This window comes from Homo sapiens, chromosome 15 (assembly GCF_000001405.40).
Source record: "Homo sapiens chromosome 15, GRCh38.p14 Primary Assembly".
NCBI classification, from domain to species: Eukaryota; Metazoa; Chordata; class Mammalia; order Primates; family Hominidae; genus Homo; species Homo sapiens.
Genome location: NC_000015.10, coordinates 60509269 through 60529866, shown reverse-complemented (window position 1 = coordinate 60529866; position 20598 = coordinate 60509269). Strand labels below are relative to the sequence as shown.

The 20598-nt window shown below is 40.8% G+C and overlaps 1 protein-coding gene and 1 long non-coding RNA gene across 15 annotated transcripts in view; one reads left to right on the top strand and one right to left on the bottom strand.

The window, feature by feature from the left end:
• RORA-AS1 (RORA antisense RNA 1) overlaps positions 1–20598 on the bottom strand; it is a 151462-nt gene that overhangs the window by 100773 nt on the left and 30091 nt on the right. For 2 of the 4 annotated variants that reach the window (NR_120342.1, NR_120341.1), the window contains one exon: positions 19334–19459. This is a non-coding gene — a long non-coding RNA (RORA antisense RNA 1). Of the gene's footprint in view, positions 1–139; positions 326–1139; positions 1288–9597; positions 9902–19333; positions 19460–20598 lie in introns of those variants that run through there. The other 2 variants (NR_120339.1, NR_120340.1) reach the window with 2 other exon arrangements.
• RORA (RAR related orphan receptor A) overlaps positions 1–20598 on the top strand; it is a 741019-nt gene that overhangs the window by 699436 nt on the left and 20985 nt on the right. For 10 of the 11 annotated variants that reach the window (NM_134261.3, XM_047432928.1, XM_011521875.3 and 7 more), the window contains 2 exons: positions 15110–15251; positions 18246–18641. In NM_134261.3, the coding sequence (NP_599023.1) occupies positions 15110–15251; positions 18246–18641 (538 nt within the window). Of the gene's footprint in view, positions 1–15109; positions 15252–17766; positions 17835–18245; positions 18642–20598 lie in introns of those variants that run through there. The other variant, XM_011521879.4, reaches the window with a different exon arrangement.

The window sequence follows — 20598 nt, the reverse complement described above, 5'->3', positions numbered from 1 at the left end:
ATTATCTAGGAATGGAGTCTGGGGAAAGGACAAGGTGGGGGTAGGGGCTACTTCATATGAAATACCCCAACAATTTGGAAGATTAATTAACAACATGCTATTGAGTAAAACCTAAGTTGACTGAGTACCATGGCACAAACAATGTGAATTTTCTTTTTACTCTTAATATTTATCATGACAAAAATAAAAGCGATAAGAAAACAAAAGGTATCTATTATTCCAAAGTTGCCATTTTTCTAGATTCCCTTCCAGATCTTGTCTGCATACCTCCTCAGTGCCAAAGTGGTTTTCAGTTATCTGTGGCTCTGTTCCTCTGCTCTGTTGACTTTATCCAATGAAAACCACAAAATAAATAAAACATAATTTTATTAACAGATTGGGCCTATGCCTAGCCAGGGACTTGAACAATGTTTCATGTTTATATTTGATACATATACTCTTTGTTCTCCATTATAATTTCTCTCTGCTATAACTAACACTTTTATTCCTAGTTATAAAAATAGAAGTCAAAAGACTTCTATTTTTGCCATTTTATGTTAATTATTTATCATGTTCTAACCAGGTAAAGGTGGTTCTATCATGATCAATTGTAAATAACTTTGCTGAGATAGTGTAATTAAACATAAGAAAAATTTCACATTAGACATATCAAATAGATATCTAATGAGAGAAGAAAGGTGATCAGTCATCTTCTGAGCTAATCATTTTGTGAACGTATTTTAAATTGCATTTTTAAATTAACAAGCTGACACCATAAGAAACTAGAGGACCTGTTTAATTGCTGAAATAATTATTTTGGCACATAGTTGCTAAGCATTGCACATGAACAGCAAAAATGGTAGAAGCTTTAGTAGCTCTTTCTGTCATTTCTGGCTCTTCCTAGTTCATCCTCTCCCCAACCCCTTTGCTGTCTGTAGAGAGACAGCAGGTGCCATGCTTCTGCTCTGACTCTGGAACCAGACTGCCCGAGTTGAAATCCCAGCTCTGCTATTTACCAGCTTGAGCACCTATACCACTGCTCTGTGCCTCAGTTCCCCCATCTGTAAAATGAGGACTGTAATTGTAATAACTTCATAGGGTTGTCACATGCATTTAAGGAAAGTACCTGGAAGAATGCCAGATGCATCACAAGCACTTACTAAGTGTTAGCTGTTGTTATCATTGTCATTACTAGGCAGACTTCTTGGTGGCTTGGTAATGCTGCTCTGTATAGTCAGATATTATTTCTGGGACATCTATGGATATAGTCTTGATTGTTGTGACCATTTGCAATGTGTTATGTAGAATCTGCCAATAAAAAAGAATACTATGAGCACTCCCTTGGGACCAAGCACTATGTAAGCACTGTAAGGGATCCAAAGACATAGAAGACCACATCTTTCCCTCAAGCAGTTTATGGTCTAGTTGTAGAGATGAGGCCTGTGTAGGGAAAGCTAAATAGCAATGCAAGAACTAATATAGAGTAAGGCCACAATCTATGATATACATAAGAAGCACATATAGGCTGGGCACAGTGGCTCACACCTGTAGCCCCAGCAGTTTGGGAGGCTGAGCTGAGAGGAAGATGTGAGCACAAGAGTTCAAGACCAGCCTGAGCAACACAGCAAGACTCTGTCTCTACAAAAAAATTAAAAATAAAAAAAACTGGCTAGGCATGGTGGTGTTTGCCTGAAGTCCCAACTACTCGGAAGGCTGAAGCAGGAGGATTGCTTGAGCCCAGGAGTTCAAGGCTCCTGGTGAGCTATGATGGTGCCACTGCATTCCAGCCTGGCAACAGAGCAAGACCCCTGTCTCAAAAAAAAAGAAAAAAGAAGCACATATCCACTAGACAGCATACCTAGGTGGTCTAAAGGAGAGTTGGCCTAGCAAGGTTTCATTGAGGAGGAACCAACCGTGGGCTGGAGCTGAGGAAGGATTTTCCCAGTCAAGGTGGCTGGGAGGGCATTCTGTGCTGAGGAAGAAGGAGAACAAGGAATGGCAGAGGCAAAAGCCCAGAAAAAGGGCAGTCTTGGTTGTATTTAGGGGACAGCACATAACTCAGTTTGATTGAAGCAAAGGGTCACTTTCTGTGGCTAGTGGAAGATGAGGGTAGACAGGCACACCATCCTCAAATTTTTAAGGACTCCATTATGCCAAGGTTTTTATTATAAACGTATTTTACTTGTTCTCTTGAAAGAATCAGGGAACAATGTATTGGCACTGCTTCAGCCTGAATATTGCATTTCGGAAGAACATATGTTAGAATCCAGGCCTGCAAGGTTTTTAGTTCTGTTCATACAGACATTTCTGAGCTCTTGGAAAAGAATTTAGTTTCAGCCTTGGGTGAGCATGATGAGGGGGCATAACGTGAGCTGGGGCAGGCCTGCCAGGAAGGAGGGGCAGGTCGTGCCCCATGCCAGCACAAGAAAAGGCCATGGTAACACTAGAGGCTGTAGATGTTAAAGTTCAATCTTCAAAGTGAATAAAAATATGAAGTGTTAGGAGGAAAATAATCATTGGTTAAGGTTTGCTTTTGAGAAATCATCTTGTTTGCCATTCAACTTCTGTTCCTAATTTCATCATGAGATACAGTGGCTGCTCAGATGATGAGGGTGAACATTTGATCTCAAGACACACATACATTTTTTAATCCATATCCTTTTAGATATTTTGGCTACACAATTTTAACTGCAAGTTTTTTAATGATAATGCACGATCCAGTATTGGGGTTAGTGAATTGGTTTCTGATTACATTTAAAACCTTTTCCTCTTGATAACACTAAGAACAAACTGGCATTCATTTGTCCAATATACACTTACCAATCAATACATTTAAGATGATGTCTTATTCAAAGCTTCCTCTTCTACCCACTAAAGATAATTTGAGACAATGTCTCTGCGTTAACAAATATATTTTCTTAAACAATAAAAAAGGCTTTTCAAAAATATCTAGAGTATATAAGTGACACCTTCCCCCACTGAAGTAGTTAAAGCCATTTCTGGAGCTTTTTATGTTTAGGTTAAAAAGCAGCTTTATATGAATGTTCCTTTTAGGCTCAAATTATCTTTTAGAGGATTCTAATATTATTATCTCAGTTGTGAAATGTTGCTAGTCGTGAACTAATTCTGTCCACTTTTCACCATTGATACATTCATGCTCATTTTTATTTTAATACGTGGCCCCAGTATTAGAGCTGGGCATTTAAAATGAAAATTCCACCTGGGGGAGGACAAGCTGTTATTGCATCCTTACGATGCCTGAGTTTCGGTTCTGTTATACACAGGCAGTAAGCGAAAATTTTTGTTTAGCTAAATCTTCCAGTCCTGTGATGAAATGCGCAAGTGGTAGGGCTGTGTTAAAACCCAATTTGCATCAAGATGATTCAGATTTTTTTTTATTTGTTTGTTTAGATCTTAATCATGTCCCAGTAACTGCTGCCCTTCCTCAGCTCACAGAAAACGCCTGGCTCGAAGCCATGTTGTAGATAGGGCCCTGACACAGCACCTGGCTTGGGGCAGGTCCCTCGTGCGTGCTTGGGAATAACCATTGCTGAATGTCTTCACTTGTATTGGATCTGAGTATGGCAAAGCACAGTCAAAAGCAGATATCGACACTTACCAAATATGACACGTGGGCAGCTTTAATCAGAGACCACTTGCGCATACAATTCTACAGGGAGGCCAGTCACTACTGAACAAAAACGTAGCTCAGGAAATCTGAATTTCTGTGATTTATTGCTGCCAGATGTATGAGTATAGGGCTGGACCAGCTAACTTTCGTGAATGAGGCCGCCTGCTCTTTCTAAAGAACAACTTTTTTTCCTCATATGCTTCTTTGAGGACTCTTATTTCTGACCCCCACCCAACTTTAATTTTATAATTTCATCTGCTTGATTTTAATCCATGCATGCCCTTTATGTTTACCCCTCAATAAAATGAAGTTATCCTCTTTTTCCCCCTCTAGCCAGATAATTAACTTTTGGCCCACACTGATCCAGAGATATTTCTTCCTTCTCACCCCCATGCTTCTGAACATTCTCAACAGAAAGTTGCCAAGATAAATAAAATTGCAACACAGTACATGCTTCTACATAGAAGATTCTCTGCTTTTCTCATCTCTACTTTTCTTAGTCTCAGACGTAAAATGAAAGGTAGACATACACCCACTTCAGCAGTCCCCCAAATTCCAAATTTTTAGTTGTACTGGAAAATACAATAATTTGGGCAGGCATACGAGCATTCACAATAAATCACAGAGTTATGAATAAATCTTGGTTGTCAAAAGCAAGTGTGTAGCCGTTCCAAAGCGTCTGCCATTAGAATTCAGCAAGGCAGCTGTCAGCTGTTTTCTTGTAATTAAACAGCCAATGAGCAGCTAATTAAGACATATGTGTATACAGAAGTGGAAGTGGGTATGTTAATGAACTGTAGGAATCAATTCATTAAGTGAAAATTGTCAAAAGACCAAACATCAGATCAGCATTTCAGCCTCTGTTTCACTGAGAAGGAGCCCCACACAGGAGGGGACAACTCAGAATCAGACCCCCGTTCACCTTCCCAGCCACACCCACAGTGCAGCGTCCAGCCAGCCCATGAACTTAGACAAAACTATTAAAACTCCAGTAGGAAGTGCCAGGCATATTTCCAGGCTTTTAAAATTTATCTGACAAATGAGTGCTTTCCTACCTGTATGGAAACCTGGTATTTGATACCCTATAAAATGCCATCTCCCTCATCTGAACCATTGTAGGGAACTCGGACTACAGAAATTGAAAAGTGTTTTTTTGCGTGTTTGTTTTGTTGTTTGTTCATCTTTTGTTGTTGTTGTTGTTATTCAGTCGGCCCTACATGTTTGTCTTGGTGCTTTTTAGGTGGTGTATTAAGAAGTCTATGGCCTTTGGAATAAGATACACCTAGGATTCAGGAATTCAAATCCTGGGCCCTCCCCTTACCTGCTCTGTGACTTTGGGCACACGGCTTAACCTCTCTTAAGTTTAACTTTCTCATTTGTAAAGCAGATATACATATCCCTACTTTGCCAATTGTAGGTTGTTGCGGATTGCAAATAATGATGGCAAAGTGTCCAACATGGTGCCTAGTAGGGAGCAGGTGCTCAGCATATCGTCACCACTGTTTTTATCACTGCCACCATTTTTTCCTCTGGTTGTTCAACAAGTATTTATTGACTTCTCTAAGTATTGGGTTAGCTACTGGAAACAAAGAAACAAGGCAGTCAGGCCCTGGAAAAGGTAGACATTAATAATACAACAAGGTAAGGGCTAGGAGGGGGATAAATACAGGACTCTTAAAGGTACACATGGGAGGGGCCCCTCAACCAGCTTTGAGAGGGCCCAGGTCAGAGAGGTTCCCAGAGCAACCGAATGTCTTCTCAGTGAATCCTGAAGGGAAGGAGAGAGTTTCTTTGGGGAACTGTGGAGATAGAAGTTTACGCTTGGTCATTCTATGACTTTGAGAAGAGCTGCCCGGACATGTGGTCATTGCCTGGTCATCAGCAGGGAGCCATTAAGGGCTCATCAGCAGAGAAGTGACTTGATCAGTTTGATGTTTTAGAAAGATATCTTTAGTAACTGTGTGAAATGGATTGGAGGGAATGAGAATGGAAGCAGGGGTCCCAATTGGAAGGTTGTATAATAACCAACTCAAGAAGTGAAAGACATGGAAACTTAAGAAAACTGCAGTAAAGATGGAGACAAGTAGATGGATCTGAGAAATAGGAAGGTGCCAAGAAGCAGCCTAACTTGGTGATGCTTGAATATGGGTGGGGAGGAGGCAGAGATTAAGTGAAGCCCATCTTTCTGCCTTGAGTAACTGAGGGAAAGATGATGCCTGTCACTGAGCAAGAAAACACTGGAGAGGACAGCTGGGAAACAGGCTGTGGGTCATTCTCTTCTAGGTCGGGTGCAGTGGCTCATGCCTGTAATCCCGGCATTGTGGGAGGCCTAGGCAGAAGGATCACTTAAAGCCAAGAGTTCAAGACCAGTCTGGGCAACAAAGCGAGACCCTGTCTCCTCTACAAAAAATTTAAAAATTAGCCAGGCATGATGGCATACACCTGTGGTCCCAGCTGCTGAGAAGGCTGAAGTGGGAGGATCACTTGAGTCCAGGAAGTTGAGGCTGCAGTGAGCCGTGGTCACTCCATTGCACTCCAGCCTGAGTGACAGAGACCGTATCTCTAAATATATATATTCTGTTCCAGAAAGTCAATGGGGGCTCTAGAAGGCCAAACCACAACTTTGGGTGAATGCCTATCCAAAGTCAGGGGGAAGCATTGAAACAACGTGATGGAGAGCTGGTGACACAGCAAGGATGAGGCTCAGGCCAGCCACATGCTGGTAAGCTGTGAACAACTGGCTCTCTGGAAAGCAAAAAGTGTCTATCTGTATGTAGATAACTTTGGTATCTATCTCATTGATATAATTTCACATAATTTTCAAACAATAATAAAATATACAATATTCTTTATTTTAAATTTCATATAGACAAATGATTCTCACTGAATGCTCTCATGATTTTTGCTGAACTCCTACATCTATCTGCATGGTTACAACTGAGGAAAGACTAGTTCCAACATGAATGTTGGTTGATATTTTGTTTACATTAATGACTAAGAAGGGAGTGAAACAACGAAGACATTTTGGAACTTCATTCATTCGCCAACAATGACATGAACCACTTCCTTGCTGACTCAGTTAATAGTTTTCAAATACCAGAAGAACATTTCTTCCACTTTTTATGTTATTCACAATGGGAGCACTGGATATGATGTACTGTTAAGTTTAATCTGCATTATTATAATTTTCATCAGTTTTTTTTTTTGTGTTTTTTTTTTGAGGCAGAGTCTCGCCCTGTTGCCCAGGCTGGAGTGCAGTGGTGTGATCTCGGCTCACTGCAACCTCCGCCTCCTGGGTAGCTAGGATTACAGGCACCTGTCACCAAGCTTGGCTAATTTTTGTGTTTTTAGTAGAGACAGGGTTTCACCATGTTGGTCAGGCTGGTCTCGAACTCCTGACCTCGTGATCTGCCCACCTCGGCCTCCCAAAGCGCTGGGATTACAGGTGTGAGCCACCACACCTGGTCTTTTTTTTTTTTTTTTTTTAAGACACAGGGTCTCACTCTGTTGTCCAGGCTGGAATGCAGTGGTACAATCATAGCTCACTGCACCCTCAAACTCCTGGCTCCAACAATCTTCCCACCTCACCTTCCCAAGTAGCTGGGACTACAAGCACATGCCACTACACCTGGCTAATTGTTTTATTTCCTGTAGAGACAGGGTCTATGTTGCCCAGGCTGGTCTCGAACACCTGGCCTCAAGTGATCCTCCTGCCTCAGCCTCTCAAAGTATTGGGATTACAGGCATGAGCCACTGCATTGGGCCATCACCTTCCTGCCTCAGCCTCTCAAAGTATTGGGATTACAGGCATGAGCCACTGCATTGGGCCATCACTTTTTAAATCTAGACAATAAAGCAAAATAATAAATCAAACCCTGATCTGTAACATTTGCCAATTTCTGTGGTGTAAATAATCCCACCAATGGCCATTTTCAAGCCACCCGACCCGCTCTTTCACAGAATACAGAGTAGGGAAGGGATGCACAGCATGGTATAGTATTTCCACCTTCAGATATAAGGATAATTGATGTAGACAACCTGAAGAACATTGATAACAGTAAAATAATCATTAAAAAGTAGTTAATTTTTTATGTCAGGAATGCATCAGTTAATGTGTAATAACAGATTTAATAACTAGCCTTAATAACAAAATTCCTGACATTTTAGCACTCAGCTCTTGCAACCTGGTATGAGCCTTCTCCTAAACACCATGGCCTCTGTCCCAGTTTGCCAAGCGCCCATCTAATGGGATCAGTGAAAAATTCATAGTATACAGTCATTTTTTTTAAAGAAAAAGTATTAGGGAATAGAATTTCCAGAGAAGGTAAGACACGTATCAGAAATAAAAGCACAAGGCGTTTTGAAAAGCTAGGTGAAATAAGGGAGGAACACTGGAGAGATGTCTTTGAGACAGTAGGAATTGAAACAAAAGGTGGATATGTAGGGACTCTGTGTCAGGAAATCGAGAATGTGTGACATTGTTTTGTTTGTCCCACAATGAAGAAGATACATATAAGTAAGAGGGCACTGGACTTAAAATCAGGACAAGAGATTGAGTCCCAGCCATGGGACCTTGGACAAGTCATTTAACATTCTAAACTTCATTTTTGTTTTTGGCAAATCAGAAAACTCGAATCAATCTCTGGTTCTTAACAAAAGGAAGTCAAAGTCTTCGGGGAGCTTTTAAAAAATATTTACTATAAAAATGACAATTGTGGCCAGGTACGGTGGCTCACGCCTGTAAATCCGAGCACTTTGGGAGGCCGAGGCAGGCGAATCACGGGGTCAAGAGATCTAGACCATGCTAGCCAACATGGTGAAACCCTGTCTCTACTAAAAATACAAAAATTAGCTCGGTGTGGTGGTGCACGCCTGTAGTCCCAGCTACTCGGGAGGCTGAGGCAGGAGAATCACTTGAACCCAGGAGGCAGAGGTTGCAGTGACCCGAGGTAATGCCACTGCACTCCAGCCTGGTGACGGACCAAGACTCCGTCTCAAAAAAAAAAAAATGACAATTTTTTTCTTTTTTGACTTATAAAAATGGGAATTTCTCATTGTTCAAACTACTATGTATGCCTGGACGACATCGCCAAAAGTTTCTGGTTTGATATATAGTTCTGGTTTGATATATCTAAGGTGTATCTTTTAAAAGCTCTGTGGGTGTTTCTGATGCATCACCTATATGTCAACTGCTGTACCTGATAATCTCTCAAAGTCTTTCAGCACCAAAGGCCTGTTTGTTTTATTCTAATTTTCTATTTGCAATAGCTGCATGGTAATCTGCTGCCACTAGGTGGTGGTAGTGCGCCACAGTCACACTAAACGTATACTACCTGAAATGTATCATGGTGGCTCTCTGGCTCAAGCTCACCATGTTTGTAAATGAACATCTCCATGTATTTTAACATCCATAAAAAGTGAACTTTTATGACAGCCAAGTAATTTGTTAGCTTATCTTTTAGAAATAACAAAATTGCCAAATTATGTACTTGATACCTTTCCCAGCTCACAACTTCAGCACTTTTTTTTTACGCCTCCTCAGTTCCACCCAAAACTCCATGCCCTAGTTTTGTGCTTCCCCTGCTCTCTGTATGACCTCCAATCCCTGGAATTCATCTCTCAGCTCACTCACTTCCTAATCCTTTTGCAGGATTTCTCCCCAATCAGACAAAATCTATCTCTGTACTTAGAAACACACTACTTCTACCTTGAGGTAGGAAGGTACCTACCACACTTTCTACTTTTCTTCTTCCTCTTTCTAATCCTTCTTCCTCTTATGTGTTATTTAACTCTTAGTATCTTATCTGTTTAATTTTCCAAACCCTTAATCCTCTGAGAACCCCGCCCCCCAAGGAATACTGAAAAGAAGAGGTTTTTAAAAAGAAAAAGAAGCAACCCAAACCCTCATTCTTCCTGAAATGCAAAGTTCAGTATTCGTCTGAGTCATGGAGGTTTACTCACCCTGTTTCTCCCTTCTCAGCTCTCACCTTATAACCCCACTTCACCTCTCGCATCTGATATTTGATAGTTCTCCTTGTGGGTATGACTCTGTTGACTTAATCCAAAAGAAAGATCGCCTTTCTGGTTCTTAGCTATGCCACTCCCAGAACTTTTCAGCAGGCATTTGTTCAGCTGACTTAGTTGAGGTATAAATGATGCTGTAGAGAATAAGGTGTGTCTGCTTGCGTGCCTGCTTTCCCCAAATCCTCAAAACTGAGACTTCCAAATAAGGGTAATCCTCTTCCAAGCAGATAGTGTGGAAGCTGGACATTGGTTCGAGCCACAGTGCCACTGCTCAAAGAACATACGGAATGCTTCATGAGTTTGCCTTGCAACTTATGGCATAATTACACAGACATCTTTAATGATAGTTATTCTGTGCCCTTGCAGTAAGTTTCATTGTTTGTTTGTTTGTTTGTTTGTTTGTTTAAATGAGCTAGAGTGATTTAGAAATAAGGTGAAGCAAATGGGGCAGAATACTTCTGGTCAGAAATGAGGAAAAATGATGGACTCATGAGACTGATTTTCTTATGTGACTCCTAATCCAGATCAGGAGGCAACTCCAGAGAGAGATTTTTGTAAAATGTCTGGGCGGTAGGAAGCTGGGTCAGCTAAAGGTGCTAAAGTGAGGGAAAACACTAATTTCAGAGTAGATTGCTCTTGCTACTTTATTCTGCATAACTTGTTTTTTACACTGCCTAATTTAATGGTTGCCCCATATGAGAACAACTAAGGAGGAATTCTTTTGACACACAAGAGAAGCAGAAAAACAAAACAAGATGACAGTGTAAGTTCTGGAGTTAAACTATGTGAAGTCATATCCTGGCTTTACCCCATGCTACAGCGAGGACTCTGAGCAAGTCACTACACCTCTCTAAGCCTCTGTTTTTTCAGCCTTAAAACCAGGGGAATGATAGGATTTGCCCAATATTGCCCTTGTCACAAGTGAATGACACAATCCACATAAAGCATAGAGTGCCTAGTATGAAGTCAGTGCTGTTTTAATGGTATTTGGGATTTGTTTTAATCAGGTACCATAAGACACACAGATCTGGAAATGACTGTCATGAAGGAAGAAGTTTGTTACACAGTAGTCCCCCCTTAGCCTCATGGGGATGCCTGAAACTGCGAACCTTTTAGATACTGTTTTCTCCCATACATCCAGACCTGTGATAAAGTTGAACTTATAAATTAGGCACAATGAGAGATTAACAACAATAATAATAATACAGAACAATTATTAAAATATACTGTAATAAAAGTTATGTGAATGTGGTCTCTCTTTGCTTCCCTTCTCTCTCTCAAAATATCTTAATATTCTTTTACTGCAGTTGACGCAAGTAACTGAAACGAGGAAAGCAAAACGACGATTAAGGAGGGAGTGCTGGACTCACAAATCCCTAGAGACAGGGCCCATGCCACACCATACAGGGGACACATGGGGAAGCGCCAGGGTCAGTGAAGGGGAGAGGGATGTGGGGAAACACTGCCAAGAGCCTCCATGGTGTTTTCCACAGGAAGGAAGGTGCAGCAGGATGAGCAGGATTAGGATAAGTAGCTAGTCTGAATCATTACAGACGGCGCTAGGAGGTAGGGGCTGTCCCTAATTGTCTTGTACCTAGCCCTAGGGTGACCAGGGCAGGGGAATCATGGCGAGAAGCGTAAGGGCCTGATGAAGAAGGTGTGCTGGGTGTGGGCTCTAGCCCACTTGGTTTTGTGTGAGAGGTGGCTGACAGCAGGTTGTTTGCTGTATGTAGGAGTTATCCAGCCCTGCAAGGGCAGTCCCTCCAGTGTCTGCAAAGCCCGAAGATGTCTGCATCCAAAATACAGAATAAAAAGATATGGTTACTACAAGTACTCAGTAAGACTGATAATCTGTCATCATCATCCTCATGCCCTTAAAGCAGAGCTAACTGATGATTAATATATGCTTCTATGTTAACAGTCTTGGACTTTATTAATGGTGGGTGGAAGTTAACTTAATGTATGTATGCAAACTAAAAAGTGGCATCCTTTTCATTAATGACCCAACCATTATTCAAGAGCTATGTCTAGTTAGGGACTTCAGACTTTTGAAAGAAATGAAGAAATAATGCCAGATACATGGGCTCGCACTTGGAATCCCAGCTACTTGGGGGACCGAGGTGGGAGGACCGCTTGAGCCCAGGAGTTCGAGACCAGCCTGGGCAACATAGCGAAACCCTGCCTCAGTTTTAAAAAAGAAAAAAAGAAGTAGTGAAGAAATTGGAAAGGATTCTGAGAAGAAATATGCAAGGTGGAAAAGAGCCTAGAAAGAAAGGTGACAGATGCTGGGATTTGGTCGTCAGAAGAGATATCTAGGAAATAGCATGGCAGCCCTCAAGTACTAGCTCCACTTAAAGAAAAAAAGAAGAGATCATTCAGACATTCCTCATATTCGGTGATCACACAAGAAACTGTAGCAGGCTTAATGTGAAGCAAACAAAACTCAACTTCAGCTAAAGCAAAAACAAATACATTCCTGATTTTAAGCATCCACAGTGATGCCTTTACACAAGGGTATGAACGGTGGGAGAGTCTCAAGAAAGAGATAAACACCTTTCAGCTTGGACAGAGATTATGTGTCTCAGGGGAAAATGAATACCTAGACAGCTGACCTCTTGGTATCTCTTTCTAAGGATTATCTGCCTCTGTGACCATTTATATTTTCTTGAATTCTCTCTAGTAAGCCCCCAAAGAAAGCCTTACTTCTTCTTACTTCCTTTTCACAGGGGAAACAGACACACACAAACAATAAAATAAAATAAAATAAAAAACATAGCTTTAGATATTTTTCAGAAGAGAGAGATTGCTTTACAGAAGAGGCGGGACTTGATCAAGGGTAGAGTTAAAGTACAACAGAGAGACAGTCTGAGACATGAGGCCCCCAGCCTTGCCCATGTCAAGGTTAGCAAGCACCTTGGCTGAAAGCAAGAGGAGTGAGAAGTCAGGGTCCTGCCCTGTCCCATCCCAGGTTGGATTTTCCAAAGAACTGGAAACTGAGGTCATATACATCAACTTGGTTGACAAAGGCCCCCAGCCATTACAAAGGAAGGCAGGTGCACTTCTTCTCAAGCTGCCCACCATAACTTCCCATCTGCCTATTGTAGGGGGGAAAAAAAAAAAAAGCACAGATGAACAAAAAGAAAAATAAAATCTGATTGGCCCCACCAACTACTGCCAACAATTTGGGGCATAATTTTCCAAATCTTCTTTTATAGTAAATATATGGGTGTCCTTTTTTTCCACAAAACTTGGATTATACTATGTTTAGCTCTTTAGTTCCTTTTTTAAACATTCAATGGTATATTTTTATCACCTTTTATATCAATAATTATATTTCTGAAATACCATTTGTAGTGGTTGAATCCCATTGTATGAGTATACAATATGACTCTTTTAATTCAGTAATGTTGGACAGTTAGGATCTTTCTACATTCTCTATATTATAGATAGTACTGTGAAGAACACCCTTGTAGGAAAATCTTTGTAGCATTCTAAATATTTCTTTAACGTGTATTCCTTAAAAGCCTAGCTCAGTGGGTAGGCTTTTTAAAAATTTTTGATACAACTGCCAAATTGACCTCCAGAAAAATCGTTCAGTGGGAGAGCACCCTTATCAGTTTGCCTACCACTCTGTTAATTCTTTAGGATTTTACCTCTCCCCACTAGTGTCGCCCTCATTGGGGTCATCTATCTTCACAACTAAAGCTTTGAAGGTAATAATTCTCTTTTGTACCCTTCATGGCTTTGCTTCATGGAAATGACTCTACTTACCTTATTTTTTTTCTGCATACATCCCTAGCTTGCAAAGCCACTGAAAGATAAATGAGCAATAAAAAGATAAAAAGGTGGATCATGCCTGTAATCCCAACACTTTGGGACTCCAAGGTGGGAGAATCACTTAAGGCCAGGAGTTCAAGACAGGCCTGGACAACACAGCGAGACCCCCATCTCGACCAAAAAAAATATATAAATATATATATATAAATATATATATATAAATATATATATAAATATATATATATAAATATATATATAAATATATATATAAATATATATATAAATATATATATAAATATATATATATAAATATATATAAATATATTTAATATAATATATATAATATAATATATAAATATATATAAATATATATAAATAAATATATATAAATATATATAAATATATATAAATATATAAATATATATAAATATATAAATATATATAAATATATATAAATATATATAAATATATATAAATATATAAATATATATAAATATAAATATATAAATATATATAAATATATATATAAATATATATATAAATACAATATATATAAATATATATATGTATGTATGTATGTATAATTAGCCAGGCATGGTGGTGTGCACCTACAGTCCCAGCTACTCAGGAGGCTGAGGCAGGAGGATGGCTTGAGCCGAGGAGTCTGGCCTGGGTGACAGAGCAAGACCCTGCCCCCTCCCCCGAAAAAAAGCCCCCATGTGTTTGGAAATTAAGAAATATGCCTCTAAATCACATCTGGATTGAAGAAGAAATCTATTGAAAGTTAGAACATGTTTTTCACTGAATGAGAATGAAAATACTACGTAGTAAAGCTTTTGGGTTGCTGTTAAAACATCACTAAAAGGAAAACTTGACACTCTAAGAATAAACAGTGAAAATCAGCTAAGAATACAGCTCAGGAAGTTAGCAAAAACAAACAAAAATAAAGTTATTGAGGTCAGTAGCTCCTTATACATCTTTGTATCCCCTCTCATTTCCCAAACAGCACTTGACACGAGAGGAACTTGATGAGCATTGGACTGGATTTGTTCCATCTTTAAAGGCCATGGTTCTGAACATGTGGTATTTCTAAACTGCCAGGGATGAGGGAATATTCCCAATCTGATCTGCCAAAATAATCCCTCCAAGTGTTATCTAATGCTTGCGATAGCAGATTCAGACTTGGGGAGTGAGAAACGCCTAAAGGGCCGTGTGTTGAAGTGGGCTAGTGAAGATTACCATGGTTCACCAGGTTCACAGTGCCCTAGGTTGTGGTGTGGCTGCATTTTCCTTAACTTGGATATTCCAGGGAAGTGTTTTGTATTTATTTTACAAACAATCTCTTAGAGATAAAGGCTAAAGGTAAGTCCTTTTGTATCATTCCATCAGGCACATTGCTTTTGATCATCAGAAGCCAAGAACAAGGACCTGGTCCTGTGCCTTTTTACATGGGCAACTGTCTGTTGAAGTTAAAGAAAGTTTTGCAGGTATAAGGGATGGAGGATTAGGCTCTGGGGATCAATTTTACTCAAGGAAAAAGAAGTGACTTTAATTTCATTAATGGTCTCCTGGATGATTCTGCTACAAGTTTAATTCTCCATTAAATATTAATGCCACTCAGTGCTTAGCATCCTGCCTTTAGTATCATACCACTCATTCTGACACTAACCTGTTTTATATTTTATAACCATATCACAGGGCTTTTTCAGGAGAAGTCAGCAAAGCAATGCCACCTACTCCTGTCCTCGTCAGAAGAACTGTTTGATTGATCGAACCAGTAGAAACCGCTGCCAACACTGTCGATTACAGAAATGCCTTGCCGTAGGGATGTCTCGAGATGGTGAGCTCTCACAGCTTGAGTTGTACAGTTGCACGGGGTTGTGAAAGTGCCTTCTGAAACCTGGACTCAGATCTGCCAATATCTGCCCCGCCTGCCCCCTCCTCATTATTCCACCTTACGCCCCGCCCCCCATGCTCCTCTGGCAGCTACATGGAACTCACAGCAGCTGCTTCCTCCTCCTCCTCATCCTCAGAGTCAGCTGGCTGGCTGATGGGTGGGGGTGGTGTGGAGGAGAAGTGTCTTGTGCTCAGAACACCTTCAGATTTTTGATATTTCAGCCATTATAGGTGGGTCGATTGACTGACGGTAAGTGTCATCTGAAGGCCTTAATAAAGATGTCTCCTCTAGGCATTTTCCCCTGCAGGAAATGTGAACCACAACTGTTACTTGCTTTACACTAGTAAGTCTATTGGAGGTTGGGATGAAGCCGCTTTTATGCTAACTGGATATTTTGAATCACATGCCAAAGCCAAATATTTGTACATACAGAATGTGTGAAAATAGTGCAAAGCATGGCTCAATGACAAGTGTTCTTTTCATTAAATGAAGCTACTTTAAGGAATAGAGACCGTCTACCATTCAAGTACAAAACATTTCAAGATCTTCCTGGAAAACTATCTTAAGTGCACTGAATAATCAACACCAGATTTCAAGACAGTTATGCTTATACGTGGAAACTGGGCAGAAAGCACAGCGGGTCCATTTTAAGGATTTTTCCAAATATACCAGCTGGCTCTCTTAAGAGATCCCTTTGAAGGAAAATGTCTCCTCCAGTGGAATTTCAGCCTGTGGAAAAATACTTCAGAATGCGGAGCAGGCTTTCCAACAGTCTGCCTTCCCCATAATCTGATGTTCTTAGCGCCTGTAGATCTACATAGGCACGAGTTCACTTTTGTTCCTGCGTATTCTAAGAGGCACTCTGTGCACCACTACAAAAGTGAAGCTTTTGACATTGGAAGATACAAATCACAGAACTTCCACCATATTCTCAGAAATTCCTGTGACATGCAACTCTGCAGATTTCATCTTCCGATGGTACTAAACTGACAAAGTTAGGTATATCTCATCAATTTGTAAGTTTAAATCACAAGTTGTGTGTGCATTTTCTCAAGAGCTGGTCCCTTTATTTCACTTACAGGATATAATTACTGTCGTTAATATTAATACAAAAGTTAAATCATAATTGCGGAGTCACAGCAGAAAGTTTCACCTGTGGGTATTAGGCCCCTTGAGTGTCCTAGAAAATTTTTTTCAAAAAAATTAAGCACCTTCAGTATGCCTTCTGAAAATTTTGCATATAAGAAATAGCACAAGTTGTTGTAGGCATAGAAAGAATTCTGGAGGTTAAGAAATTATGGTTCTGAAATTCAGATCCCACATCAGCCTGGTTGCTGCCTGAGCAGCCCCACCCAAGTTTCTTATCTGAGTTGTGGAAACTGGAAAGTGACCAGTATTCCAGCTCACCTGTTTCCTCTGTGAACAAGGACAGCGCGTCCTCTTTGGCAAGAAAAGAATTCACCACCTGGCCACTGTGAGGGCCTTGGTTCCCAACTTCGTGTCCATCTATCCTGCCTCCTGCCCTAGACTCTTATAACTACGATCATAGTCAAATGGGTGAATGCATCCACCCCATCAGCTATAAATTTAACCACAATCAATTAGGAGAACTAAGTCCCTCCAGCAAAGACTGAGTCTAGCTGAAAAATAAGTGAGTTCATGGAAGAATTCAGACCAGGAAATCATAGGGTTTTTTGTTTGTGTGTTTTTGTTTTCAGTTATCTTGGTGTTTCACAAGAATTCATTTGATATTCTGAATGAATTGGAAAGTTATTCATTATAGTGACTGCTCCACTTTAAATATGGGGACACATCCCAAAGAGAAGCATTACAAACAGAAATCTGCCCAACAAGGATCATACATTATAAGGATCTTATATTATAATACCATATTTGTCCTTTCCAAATCCTGATGCTGTGATTACTTGAGGCTAAATGGGAACAGCAGAAAGTGTTTAAAGATGGGTCCTACTGGGAGTGGTAGCTCACACTTGTAATCCCAGCACTTTGGGAGGATGAGGCTGGAGGATTGCTTGAGCCCTGGAGTTCCAGACCTCAAGCCAGGGCAACATAGCGAAACTCCATCTCTACATAAAGTGAAAAAATTAGCTGGGTGTGGTGGTGTACACACGTGGTCCCAGCTACGTAGGAGGCCAAGGCGGGAGGATCGCTCAAACCTTAGGAGGTTGAGGCTGCAGTGAGCCATGTTCACATCACTGCACTTCAGCCTGGGTGACAGAGAGCAAGACTCTGTCTCAAAATAACTAACTAAATAAATAAAAATAAAGATGGGTCTCAGGGTTCCACAGGGGCTGCCATGACCCATGACCCATGACTGGAGGAGGGGGCTTCTTAGGTCAGGTACTCTGATGTAATTCAAAGAATTACAGAGGCCTCATCCAGTTCATTCAGACCTCACAATGAAGCTGCAGAAGTGGCCATTTGATCAGGGAGAACTGTCGGAGCGTACAAGACGGTGAACTGAATGAACGCTGAGGTTTGACTGCTTATTCCTTGATGAACCCTGTGAGTCTTTGCTTCCCTGTGCCTTGGTCTGAACGTGGGAGAGAAAGAGGTAGCCTAAGCCAGCTGCACGGGGGGAGAGTGAACAAGCCCATTAAGTTATCAGTGGGGCGCAGTGGAAACGGGGGATGTGACAGCAGGGAAACAGAAGTGGCATCTCTCTGGGCCCCTCCTACCTGCACCAGGCCTCTTTCTGAAACATGAGTTTCTCTGGGATGTGTGTTTGCTGTTGGGGAGCTGGAGCGAGTCTGTGTGGGTTGGAACTGTTTTCACCTCTGAATATGTCCTTATTTTGTGGTCATGCAGTTTTGGATTGAGATTGTGTGAGACTTCAAAGGAAACCCCAAAGCTCGCAGGAGAGAATATTGAAGAAAAGCGCATTGTATGTAGTATGGTTTGGCTTTTTTCTTCCAGCTGTAAAATTTGGCCGAATGTCAAAAAAGCAGAGAGACAGCTTGTATGCAGAAGTACAGAAACACCGGATGCAGCAGCAGCAGCGCGACCACCAGCAGCAGCCTGGAGAGGCTGAGCCGCTGACGCCCACCTACAACATCTCGGCCAACGGGCTGACGGAACTTCACGACGACCTCAGTAACTACATTGACGGGCACACCCCTGAGGGGAGTAAGGCAGACTCCGCCGTCAGCAGCTTCTACCTGGACATACAGCCTTCCCCAGACCAGTCAGGTCTTGATATCAATGGAATCAAACCAGAACCAATATGTGACTACACACCAGCATCAGGCTTCTTTCCCTACTGTTCGTTCACCAACGGCGAGACTTCCCCAACTGTGTCCATGGCAGAATTAGGTAATGGCATGCATGCTTCTCCTGGGATGCTCTATTCATGCCCTTTGAAGTAAAAGGGGTATGTCTGACTTTCCTCTAATGAGTTCTGCTAAATGATGCAATTCACCTTTACCATTTGGGCCACTTAATTTTCTGCCCTGCCCCCTTGCTTTTGACCCTCTGCTGTTTCCCATGGTTTATCCAATACATGCATTGACCTCTCAGCATTAGAAATGGGGCAAAACCAACGGAAGCAGTCTTTGAATTCTGCAGAAAACTGTAAGTTCAGGAAATGGCTACATTAACTTCATTAGTGGTTTACTTTAGTTATATTCCAAGGATTGCTTTATACCTAAGGTGACAAAAAAAAAAATGGCAGTCCACAAACTGAACTTGGCCCACAGACATATTTTTTTGCCCAGGGCAGAGTTTTAAAATTTTTGAATCAGTTGCTAATATTTAAATTTGGATAATTATACCCAAAAGTTCAGCTTTTTTAGCTTCTTGTGGGAGGGGAAAAAATGATCTATTTACACTGAGCCAACATTTGTGAATGTCAACAGCCAACTGGCAACAGCCAGGGGATTACACCTTTCAATGGGCCCACCTGACTCCCGCCATTTATATCATATGCACAGCCCCTGTAGGCATCTCATTTTTGCAACTCTGATATATAGTATAAATGTTCAACAGAAATCAGCTTCTTTACTTACCAAAATGTTCTGATGATGGATATTGGTGACAAAATTGATGTAATTCATATAAGGCTCACCATGCAAAAGACAAAAAACTGTCCTTTTCTTATTGCTGGAACATTACTGCTTCTTGGGAGATGTGACCTAGAAATGTTGATAACACAGACAATGGGCAACTTTCCATTTCGAGGAAGTTGTGTTAACATCCGCTGCTATATTTAATCGATTTTTAAGTACAGCACTATTATTAGAAAAACTTTGATAAGAACCTTTGTAGTTTTTAAATTTGATCTGCTCCTCCTGGTGGTTCCTCACACAAGGTTATAATCCTTTGGGATATGTCAATTAGTTGCTGTGGAGATGACTAAGTTAATACAAGGAGAGAATGAAGACTTCAGACGGAAAAGAAACAGCAGGTTCAGACTTGAGCACAGAAATCCTCAGTTCACAGAAATAATGGCTGTGTTCTTTAGACGGTTTCTCTACCTCTGCACCCCATAAAACATCTTTTAAGTGAAAATTTATATTTCCAGTAAAATCTTTCTCCAAATAGAACAAATTGAATGTTCTTTACGGTTTTTACACAAGCATCTCTTTATGGGTCTAAATTTAAATCCTCAAGAGCAGGGACATTTTAAGCCTGGTCTTTAACCACTGAACAGCATTAAAAGGTGTATTGCAGCTCTTTTGATTAACAGAGAAACCTCTGAACTAGAAGCCAAGCTGAGCAGAGGTAGGTTTGATTTTTTTTTTTTTTTCTTGAACTAGAACAAAAACCTTCCATTTTTGTCATGAAATCTTGGTTGGCTGAGCCTTAAGCAGAACTGTAATGAAAGTACAATTTTCAGATATGAATAAGGATTTGATTGAAAGCTGACATGATACCATGAAAAATGACCTGACTCACTTTAGGTTTGCCTCCACCTTACCATAAATACTAGTGACTCTGTCCTGTTTGCTTGTCAAATATTCAATCCTGAAATAAATCCATAGGCCTTAGGCAAAGCGTGCCCTTGAACATGGCACTTTGGCTAAAAAATGCACTCATACCGAAGTGGGGCCAGAAATGGCTGAGCCGATTCCCTGAGGCTCCCGGACAAGTCAGCTTCCTCTTCCATGGTCTCACTTTCCAGTGCAGTCTGGGAGCCCTGCCCCCTCATGCTTGCTCTATGTGCTTTTAAATTAGGGATTTTTCACAGGTGTTGTGGTATTTACCAAGATAAATTAAATGAGATCATCACTAGGAGAATTCCCAAACCCAAAACTAAACTAGCATTTATCTG